Genomic DNA, 11,570 nt, shown 5'->3' with positions numbered 1-11,570 from the left:
CCTCGTGATCCGCCCACCTCGGCCTCCCAAAGTGCTGGGATTACAGGCGTGAGCCACCGCGCCCGGCAACAGTCTTATAAGATACTATTATCTCCATTTTAAAGCTGAGAGAGGTTGAACAATTCGTTCAGGAATGTAGAGTACAAAACTAATAGAGGTAAGCCTTGGTCTCAGGTCTGTCTGACTCTTAAGTTTGTAGAACCTTCTCTGGCTTCAGCTTCCTCATCTGTAAAATAAAGGGGCTGAGCTAGCTCACCTGTGTATATTATCCCATTTGATCCTCCTGACAACGCCATGAGACAAGATAATAATGTCTTATCCTTTTTATGATGAAAAAAACTGATTAGAGTTTAAATAGCTTACCTAAAACCATACACAGTCTCAGAGCAAGTTCTTCTGACTCCATGTACAAGGCTATTTCTATTACATCACGTCTAATGATCACTACATTCCTCTTTCAAGTGCTACAGACCATTAAACCTTAGTTTCAAAGGATTAGGATATCATAAATGTACTGAGATATCACATGGTCAAATATTAAAACTCTAAAATGCTTTTCATTTATAGACACTGAGGCCTAACCCTCCCCACCCTCTTTCTTTCAAAACATGCACTCTGATAAAATCTTTTTACCTTTGATAATCTTCCACATTATTACAAAGCTCAAGTAGTAAGACTAAACATTCAGCTTATAACTCTTGCAGAGATGGTAATTGGGTAATTTATTTCTACATAGTGGTCCTATGATATATTTTCATAATTGGTGAACAGTATCCTACAGTTGTGCCAAAAACTGGTTTCAGAATTACAGATTCTAAGATGATTAAATACTAGAGTAGTGATTAATATGGCATAAAATCATTTTATGTTTTTAAAAAAAGTCTAGCTACCTTATACAAACAGGTGTCGACTACTTCATTGCAAACTTTCTCAAGGTCATCAGTGACTTCAAGTCTGGATCTTACAAAATCACAGAGCTCTTCATTTCCCATAACATCCCAGATACCATCACATGCAAGGATAATGAACTGATCATCTTCTTCAGATCTTTCAATATCATGGACTTCAGGCTCTGGTGAGACAAGCTGCTCAGTAGGACCTTTTCCATGGACACATTTGTAATCAAAATCCCCAAGGGCCCTCGATACAGCCAGAGAGCCATTCACACGCTGAATCATTACAGAGCCACCTGCATTCTGAATTCGTTCTTTCTCCAGCGGATTACTTGGTTTGTGATCTTGTGTGAAGAAATGAACTTTCCTGTTCCTACAAAGTAAACCTCTTGAGTCTCCACAGTTAATGAAATAAGTATGTTGGGGAGAAATTAAGACACCTACAGCTGTTGACCCACTTCTATCTGCACCATGTTTCTTCTCTGACATAACTCTCATGTGTTCATCAATCTCCAGAAAACCTGTTCTGATTCCATTCTTTACATTTTCCACAGAAGGTGCTCCTGCAGACCCTTTAAAATCCTGGTTATTGGTGATGTGATCTAACAAATGCTCACAGCAGTATTTGGCAACCTGAGAACCAGCATGCCCATCATACACAGCAAAGAATGACCACGATTCAAGTCCACTTGGCAAACCGATCACAGCCGTATGTGCATCCTCCATTTCAACACGCCAGCCTTGCATGCTGCTTAGCCCATATCGCAACCCATTACCCTGCCCCTGGGCATTATGCTTTTCCATCTTTGGCTTGTCTAAAAATGCTCCCATTATGTCTTGATCCTCTAGGTCTGCAAAGGAAGAGAAACAGGAAAGTCAATAACTGTCTTATAAACAAAATATGTACCAAACAATCTTTTTAATAAGTGAAAGAGATATGCGGGAATTCACAACTCGCGATAAGCAGACATTCATTGTGTTGCTGACTTGGAATCTGGAGATTAACAAGGAGGAACTGGGGGAAAGCCTGATGAAGCACAGATCACAACAGACAAAAAGGCAGAAAAAAACTAAAGCATTGGGATAAAGGGGAGAAGGCAGAAAGGAGACCTGGCAGTGGCCATCAACTTAAACCAACCAGGCTAAATGTTTAATGATACAATGAACATGTGTAAGCTCAGGACTAAGTTGTATGTATATCAATTAAGAAAAGCCAAACGAATTCATGACATACCCAAAAAATCTACTAACTCAAATATATCTTGGTTGAACATTCAGGAATTTTCAAGCTTGATTCCAAACTCCCTAGTTTTATTCCCACTGCATGAACTCTGAAAAACTAAAAAATAATCTACTCACAATGCTCCAAATTTGCATGCTCCTTCAAGCCTTTGCTCATGTCAGTTTCCTTAACTGGAAACTCTTGCCTCATCCTATTTATAGAAAAAAGTATACCTATCCTTTTAAGTCTACCTTACATTCTACCTTTTCCATGAGGTTTTTCAGTTTTTGATAAAGTCAGTTAAGTTATTAAATTACTGTAAATGTTGTAGCCTCAAATTTCAAGTTGCAAGCAATTATATATATACATAACGAAGTGTACTGTATACATATATAACAAAATTACTACTAGTAATCTATTAATCATATAGTAATAACATGTACCATTATTATTATACTCTATGACCATTAGGTATATAAAGAAGATCAAAGGGTCTAGTGACAGCCCTGCTGACAAGCCTGAAGGCTCAGCTAATCTAATCCTTTTCCAATACTCAAAAGTTAACACCCGCTGGTCTAGAATGGGCCCACACAAGGCAAAGAGACAGCTGGTTAGAATTTACCTTGGCCCTTACTTGAACAATAGCTTAGAAATGTAGACACCTGGGTTCAAGTAATCAAGTAAGTCACAACTGAACTAAAGGCAATCCAAAAGAAGGATAGCATGATGAACAGAGATTTAATGGAGGTGAAGAGGAGTTAGGTAGTAGGGAATAATGGTGGAGAAAAGTATCTAGGTAAATCACTACGCAGCTCTGAAACTAGGGTATTGATGATGCTAATGATACTCAGCTCAGAGAGGAAACTGGGAGAAAAAGGGCAAGAAGAAAATCCTCCTAGGAAGGAAAGAAAAACATTTGTTTTCCCCTTCATTTTCCTTATAGGTCCAAACTGATACATAGGCAGAAAAGACTGGCTGATTGGCGTGATAAAACCATCTGCCTACTCCTCTGCCTCCTAGTACAGTTCAACTAACGAAAGGTAAGTAATGAAAACTAGCTATCATCCATCCCTTATGGTGATATTTATCAGATTATTTTTCTGACATCAAGTTGATACACACTGCAAAGGTGAGTATTTTGATTGGATAAAGGATAACGTAATAATGACACCTTATTAGCAGGCAATGTTTAAGAAGTATTCTAAGTCCCTCTGGTAAGTGTTTTACAAGCATTACTTCATTTAATCTCTTCAACAACTCTCTAAGGTAGATAATAATATTATCTCCAATTTATAGATGAAGAACCTTAGCCAAGATTAAAGAACTTGGCCAAGATCACTCAACTAATAAGTTTAAAGGAATCAGGGCTCTGATTCAAGTCTGCGTGACTCTAAAGCATCATTAACCCCTAAGAAAATGGGTCTCTACCATGGCTGTGCAACAGAATTATCTGTGGACTTTTTGAAAAATAAATATTTCCAAATCAGAATTTCCAGGGTAGGGTTGGAACCTAGGTATCTATGATTTTTAAATTTTCATATGTGATTCTGAGGCACAGTAAGGTTGCAAACTGCTGGAAAAGATTAGATGGAATGCCTAAGGCAGAAGATGGGGGCACATTAAGGGCCAACAAGAAATAATCAACCAAAATTGCAGTAACCAAGACCACTATCCTAGGTTACAAGACCACTATCCTAGACTAGAAACAACAAGGTGAAGTTTTACAGAGGAAAGACTCCACTACCTTGAGAAAAGGAAAGAAAAAAAGAGACGTGAGTGAAACTCAAAAAATTAAACACATTTAAGAGACAAACCAACAGAAAAGAATAGTAATGACAAACTTCCTTCCTCTACGAATTCACCAATAGCATGAAGTACTAAAGAAAATAAGTTATGAAATTAGACCAATGTGGGTTTAAATTCTGGCTCTACTACTTAGTAATAGTGTGACTACTGAACCTTTCCGAATCTCTTTCTCCATCTGTTCCTGTATAAGCATATAAGAAGGCAGCCAGGTGTGGTGGCTCACGCCTGTAATCCCAGCACTTTAGGAGGCCGAGGTGGGTGGATCATGAGGTCAGGAGTTCTAGACCAGCCTGGCCAATATGGTGAAACCCCGTCTCTACTAAAAATACAAAAATTAGCCAGGCATGGTGGCGCATGCCCGTAATCCCGGCTACTTGGGAGGCTGAGGCAGAAGAATGGCTTGAACCTGGAGGCAGAGGTTGCACTGAGCCAAGCTGAGATCACATCACTGCACTCCAGCCTGGGCGATAGAGCGAGACTCCGTCTCAAAAAAAAAAGTATATAAGAAGGCACTAACCTTACAAGATTCTTATGACGATTAAATAAAATAATGTATACAGTGCACAAAGTATAGTGTCTAGCAAATTATAAATACTCAATATAATATAGATATTATTATATAATTTTTACACCATTTTTTCTGCCAGAGGAGGCAGTCAATCACAATAATATTTCCTCCTTGCCGCCAGCTCTGATTACCATTAAATTAAACTTCTATGTGATATATTTTAAAAGACACTTTAAACACTTCATTAGTAAATAGGGGAAGGCACATTTAAAACAAATGCCATTTCTCATCCATCTGGCAATATCAAGAGTTGGTCAGAATGTGGAGAAACAGGAACTCCCCTAGAGTGCCGATAGGAGTTTAAATTGGTTCAACCACTCTGAATTGCAACTGGCAACAGCTAGTTGAAGAAGTTGAAGATACACTTAAGCAACTACTCAGCAATTCCACTTCTAATTATAGATCTCAAAACAACGTTTTAAAAATAATGAACACGGGTGATAAATCAGTTTAATCAGTATGGGTTACACACAACCCAATCAGCTGGGTTGTGTGTAAACTGCATTTGAAAAAGATAAAATAGGCCGAGCGCAGTGGCTCACGCCTGTAATCTCAGCACTTTGGGAGGCTGAGGTGGGTGGATTAATTGAGGTCAGGAGTTCGAGACCAGACTGGCCAACATGGTGAAACCCTGTCTCTATTAATACAAAAAATTAGCCGGGTGTGGTGGCTGGCGCCTGTAATCCCAACTACTCAGGAGGCTGAGGCAGGAGAATTGTTTGAACCTGGGAGGTGGAGGTTGCAGTGAGCCAAGATCATGCCATTGCACTCTAGCCCGGGCAGCAAGAGCGAAACAACGTCTCAAGAAAACAAAACAGAACAAAATAGAGTGCATCCCAGGTGATAAAAGTAAGTAAATACTGTTTCTTGAAGTTTTTGTCCCAAGTGTATATTTGTATTTACTAAGCTGAGGTGCACATAATTCTTACTGTGGTCACAACAAAAAGTCTGAAACATGCTGTCTTGAAGAAACTCTCCCATCCATCCATCCAAGGTGACATATTCAATGATCTTTTTGGAGAACCATAATAGTCAATGTTGGAAATAACCTAACTGCTCATTAGAAGGTAGGAAGGATAAATAACAGAATACAATTTATCAAAAACAGATCTAATTACATAAACAGATATTCCTAAAAAACAAAAGAAGACAATATGCTGAACAAGGCTGCAAAACAATTCTATACACATATTTGCTAAAAGTATAAAAACAAGGACAGGCAGAATACAGACAAACTTTAGAATAGTGGCTGTAAACTCCATGAGAGCAGGGACTTTTTGTTTTATTCACTGGTGTCTTCCCAGCACTTGGAGCACAGCCTAACACACAGAAGAAGTTCAATCTTTGTCGAATGACTAGTTTCTCTCTGGGAAGACAAAGAAAAGAGGATGGCTTCAGGAAAGGGTCTAACAATGGGATACAACTGTATCTGCAGGTGGTGTTTCCTGGACTTTGAAGCAGAAAGAGGGAATTTAGGAACATAATCTCTGCTTTAGTTTTTCTAAATTATCTCGGCTTTTAGCTTTCCTTTGGTTCATCTAAGGTAAGCTGAATTCCTTCAAAAGTTACCTGTACTAAGAAGTCAAAAAAAAAAAAAAAGAAACTGGGAGCCAAAGAAAAGCAAACCGCAAACCATGAAATCTTTTAAAAGCACATAGGATTATCTTAAAACTTAACTAAGATTCACTTCTATCTTAGACAGATTAGGAGCCTGGCTTTCCTCCTTATTCTTTCCTATAGCCTACATTTTTATCTCTGAACAACTACATGAGATAACAGGTAGTCACAGGCTTAATAATAACATCTAACATTTATGGAGAGATTACTACTAGCCAAGCACTGTTCTAAAGTTTTGTATATGTATTAACTTCTTTAATCTTCACACCAATCCTAAAAGATAGGTACCCTGTTTTACTCATGAAGAAACTAAGCCACGGTGAGGTTAAGTCATCTGCTGAAGGTCAATAGCAAATTGCCTTATCTCTGTGTCTCAATTCCCTTAACTAGGATGAGGGAGCAAGGTTGAGGAGGGAGGTATTATGCTTAAGACACTTCACACCTACTAATAAAGCATTCCTCAACTTCCTCATCTGTACAGTGGGCATATTAATACTTTCCTCTGAATGCTGCTGCAAGGTTTAAATGAGGCAATGCCTTGCAAGGCACCCATACAGAGCCTGGCAAAAATGAGGCAGTCAGCAAACAGGCACTGTTTAATTACTAACTCCTACATAAACAGCCACGTCTAGATTCCAGCCTCAACTAGCAGGGACCTCACTCTCACTTTTATAAAGAAGTACAGTAGTTATTTTCCAGATACACACATGAAACTACCAAATAATTCTTTGAAGATAGAATATACTTTCTAAAAACAAACCCCAGACTTTAAAAAATATATACAGTATATTATTATAGTATATAAATTAGTATATAAAAATGTAACAAACCAAGTAACCATCTAACAAAATTTTAGGTTCAGCTCCACAGCAACTGTAAAAATATAGTCAAGGGTAAATTAATAGTTTTGTGGCTGGACTTTTACATACTGAAAACAGGCAATATAAAAATCTTACCTCCTTGGGTTCTGAGCAATTTGTAGAGTCCTGGTGAAGCAGCCAACTATAAGCTACATGGATACAAGAGCTGATTATATAAATATAATACCAAAAAGTACTTACTTGCAAATACTATGTTTACACAGTCATCTTCCATAAGTGGACTAATAAAGAGTATTTTATTTAGTCCAATAATTAAATTGGCGTATATCCATAAATAGTAAATCCCAAGGGGATTCAATTTGTCCATGAAAGTTTTTAGTTAGTTTCTGAGAGAAATTTTAGTTCTCACCTAGTCATAAATCTGTTCTTGAGTACAAGCTGAGTCTCATCACAGCACTAGTATTATCAGTTGATCTGAACTTTTCAAAACAAAGTACTATGACAAAAAACAAGACTGAATTAATATTTGATATAATCAGAAAATTTCATGAACATTTTGTACCTTTTAAAAACCAAACTAATCCCTAAACTGAAAAATTCTAAGGCTGGGCCAAGAAGTCATTAATTAATGTTCAGTCTTGCCTTTTATTAAGCAAAGGTGAACTCATAGTAGAGTCTTGAACCCGGTCATTTGGTTTAATCCACTCAGAATTATAGTGAATAATTTTTAAAATGCTCTATATATTTTATTGTTAAAATCCCTATGCAACATGTTAGCCCCAAAGTAACAAGAGTTATTCAACTGACAATTTGAGCAGAAACCTTAAAAAGTTGAGTAATAAAACCCTACATATTTTTCTATTTACGTAGGGACACTTAACCTAATAGGGAACGCCCCCCAGGCTTTATAAACAAAGGACATAGATACATACAATGTGGAGAAAATTATATTCTCTTAGCAAATACCAGAGTTATTCTTACTCATATAACAAAAGAACATTGCTAAACAGGCATTCCAAGAAGGGTGGATACTGGTAACTAGAGGACCTTTGATGACCACTGAGATAATAGGTTTGGTTTTAAACATTTGGGAGAAAAATCTAGAGTAGACTTGCATTAGAGATAAGAAATCTAAAGGCTGAAGGGAAATCCAAAGAGAAAAAAATATATAGTGAGAGACTACAAGCTCCTCGGGGAAGGTGGGGAAAAGGAACGTTAACAAACAGCACAGGTCACAGTGGATAATATGGCAATATTCAAATTACTTGCAGTGGGATGTAGAGCGTAAACTCTCTACTGCTACCAAATCTTTATATTCTACATTGCTCACTAATGCTTACATATGTACGGGCTTTGTCCTCAAAGATAAGGACAAATGGTCAGCTGACTTCTGGAATGCATATTTATGGAACAATAGAGTATTAAGCAATATACTGCATACCTGGGGTTCAAAGAAGAAATGCTAACCCTTGCAGCTACATCTCTATAAAGGATAATTTAGGCTACACAAACTACACTTAATTTCCCAAGCTATGTGAAATAGTAATAAATTCTAGTTTGTAATCCAAGGCAGCCATCTCAAAGTTATCTATGGTAATGAGAAATAAGCACATTAACAAAACTGTAGCAAATCTGTAAAAAAAAAAAAAAAAAAAAGGCTAATCTTTGGAAATTTTTCTCCCATTTGGAGCTGAAATTTCCCACTGATTGTTGCTTTAAAAATGATTAGAGCCACACATGGTGGCACATGCCTGTAATCCCAGTGCTTTGGGAGACTGAGGTGGGAGGACCACTTGAGGGCAGTTCAAGACCAGCCTGGGCAAAATAGCGTGACTCTGTAAAAATGATTAGCGGGGCATAGTGGTGCATGCCTGTAGTCCTAGCTACTCAGGAGGCTGAGGAAGGAGGACTGCTTGGGCCCACGAATTTGAAGCTGCAGTGACCTATAATGGTGCCACTGCACTCCAGCCTGGGCAATAGAGTAAGACTCTGTCTCTAAAAAAATAAAAATAATAAAATATTACTCATTTATAGTTACAAATTTGATTTTGATAACTTGCATAATGAATCAGAGCCAAAATGCAGAAATGATTTGTGTAAACCTATTTTACAAATGAGAAGGTGCAGAGAAACAGAATAACTTGCCCAAGGTTACAAAGCTGGTTCATCAGTAAGGCTAAGAATAAGACTTAGGTTTCTGGACTTACACTCCAATTCTCCTACATGTGCTATCCTGTATCCTTGCAAATGAGGTAATGAAAATCTAAATGTGTAGGCTTTTTAAAGACAACATACAAGATAAGGAAGACTGTCACAGAACAAAACTAAAACTTCCCTCAGTGCCATATCTTCTTCTGCCTACAAGTCTATATATTTTCTTTTCTAAATCTCTAAAACTGCCAAAGATAAATGACCTTAAAAAAAAAAAAAAGGAAGAAGAGAAAAGAAAGAAATCTAAAATTTTTCTTTTTTGTCTGGGACTGAAAGAAAACAACAGTGAACTAATTGTAATTTCTAGCAAAGCCAATTTCAGATACTTAGGCTAAATAAAGTGTAAAAATGAACAGAGAAAAATAAGATGACTTTTTTTTTAATTCAGAAGTTGAAAAGAGGGAGACTCAGTATTCATTAGCTCAAAATTAGAAACTAACCAAGATATGAAATGACATTGAATGAATAAAACAATTGCAGACTGTCAATTAAAAAAGAGGTACTCTGAAAATAGTTTCATGGAAATGAGAAGCAATTTACTGAACTGAAAATTGCAATAGAGACAATGAATGGCAGATTGGATACTACAGAAAAAAAAGATCAATAAATGAGTGAACCATTTCAATGAATTCTTTCATAACCCTCCCCTCCTACTTTTCTGCTGTAATAGGACTCTGTCCTCTCACTGATAATAAATCCTCTACTAGACTAGCTTTGGTGCCCATGTTTCAAAGGAGTCTTAAATGACAGTTTTTTCAGGAATGTTACACTATTTTCCTTTTTCTCCTTTTTATCAACATTTCTCAGTTGGAGTGTGACTTTTAAAGCCACAAGTGTCACCCATGTTACCCATTAAAAATAACTTTTCATGTGACTTATTCCCCTCGAGCTACCCATGTGCCTCTCTTCTCTTTACAGTTAAACTTCTTAAAAAAAATGTTGATGCTCCAAAAGGCTGTCTGGCCATTTTACTAAATCAAGTTCCTCCAAGTCACTTAATCTAAGGGACATTTTTAGCCCTCCTCTAATTGACTGCTCACAGAAGCATTCAACTATAACACTCCCTCCAGAAACACTCTTCCCATTGGCCTTTCAAGATGCTACACACACACTCCCAGCTTTCTTCCTACCCCTAAGCTTTTCCGTCGTCTCCTTTGCAGGCTCATTTTCATCTCCCAAGCCATTAAACATTGGCATTCCTCAAGGGTTACATGTAGGCCCTTTTCCCATTCTATGCTGCCTCCCTGAGCACCCTCACATATCTGCAGCTTTTACCAGTGAATGGCACCATCACCCACCAAGGTGAATACAAACCAAGAACATTCACTGGGTGCGGTGTTGCATACTTGTAGTCCCAACTGCTTGGAGGCTGGGGCGGTAAGATTGCTTGAATCCAGGAGTTCAAGACCAGCCTAGGCAATATAGCAAGACCCCAACTCAGAAAAAGAAACAGAAACTAAGGATATCTTTGATACCTCTCTCTACCTCATCTCCCATCAGTCCATCATCAAATCCCATGGGTTATATGCTTCCTAAGCATTCTCAAATCTGTCCACTTTTTTCTACCAATGCCCTGGTCTCAAGTTACCATCATTCTCACTGCAGAATACTAGCGTCTTTAGTCTCTTCACGTGGATCCTGGCATCCCTCTAATTCATTCTCCAAACTGCAGCCTAAGTAAATCTTTCAAAATACAAATTTCACCATATCACTTCTGTACTAAAAGTTTCTCAATGGCTTTCCACTGCTGGGGGTAGGAGGTGGATAAATAACTGCTTAATATGGCTCACATGAAGGCCCTGGGAAGTCAAGCCCCTACGTACCTTCTCTAGCCGCATCTCACTTCATACTGTCCCTTCTCCTACATTCTCTACTCCAACCACAAGGGTTTTCTTACAGTACCTAGTACTCATCATACTTCCTTCCTCCAAATATATAAACAAATGCTACTTTCCCTACCTTAACAGCTGTTCTCTCATGTCTTAGATAATTCCTACTCATTCCTGAGATCTCAGCTCAAGCATCAATTCTTCAAAGGAGCCTCCTTTGAGTTCCCTAGGTCAACTCCCCAAGCACAGAGTATACAGTAAATCATTAATAAATATTTGCTGAATAAACTCAAAATCAGATGCAAATAACTCATTAACAAGGAGAGTGCACCCAAAAAGTAAATATGCATATAAAAAACAAGACTTTCTGAAGGAGAAACAGAGAAGCTATCATCAAAGAAATGAGAAGAAAGTGTTCCTCAGTTGAAGCCTTTTCAAAATTAACAAGCTCACTGAATTAATTGCTAAAAACCCACTCCTAGTTGTTCACAACTATAGAAATGCAAGGAAAAGAAAAAAAAATACTATAATGCAAGGTTCTAGACAAAAACATGAGCAATCATAAAAGGAAAGAGTATCAAATTGATATTAGCCATCTCAACT

At 37.7% G+C, this 11,570-nt stretch overlaps 1 protein-coding gene across 25 annotated transcripts in view, besides 1 other annotated feature; it reads right to left on the bottom strand.

Moving 5' to 3' along the window:
* PPM1A (protein phosphatase, Mg2+/Mn2+ dependent 1A) overlaps window positions 1–11,570 on the bottom strand; it is a 53,338-nt gene that overhangs the window by 14,660 nt on the left and 27,108 nt on the right. For 11 of the 25 annotated variants that reach the window (NM_177952.3, XM_047431516.1, XM_047431499.1 and 8 more), the window contains one exon: window positions 891–1,744. In NM_177952.3, coding sequence (NP_808821.2) covers window positions 891–1,744 — 854 coding nt within the window. Of the gene's footprint in view, window positions 1–890; window positions 1,745–5,418; window positions 5,674–5,725; window positions 5,856–7,062; window positions 7,116–7,336; window positions 7,424–11,570 lie in introns of those variants that run through there. The other 14 variants (XM_047431505.1, XM_047431508.1, XM_047431511.1 and 11 more) reach the window with 4 other exon arrangements.
* Window positions 948–2,147: an enhancer, noted in NCBI's record as "BRD4-independent group 4 enhancer chr14:60748999-60750198 (GRCh37/hg19 assembly coordinates)". NCBI's record gives its function as "activates an origin of replication core promoter dependent on BRD2, P300/CBP, MED14 and CDK7 cofactors, and independent of BRD4, by STARR-seq in HCT116 cells {active_cell/tissue: HCT116}" and the evidence as "EXISTENCE:reporter gene assay evidence [ECO:0000049][PMID:35650434]".

This window comes from Homo sapiens, chromosome 14, assembly GCF_000001405.40.
Source record: "Homo sapiens chromosome 14, GRCh38.p14 Primary Assembly".
NCBI classification, from domain to species: Eukaryota; Metazoa; Chordata; class Mammalia; order Primates; family Hominidae; genus Homo; species Homo sapiens.
The sequence above is the reverse complement of the archived record's forward strand: the minus strand, read 5'-3'. Positions and strand labels throughout refer to the sequence as shown.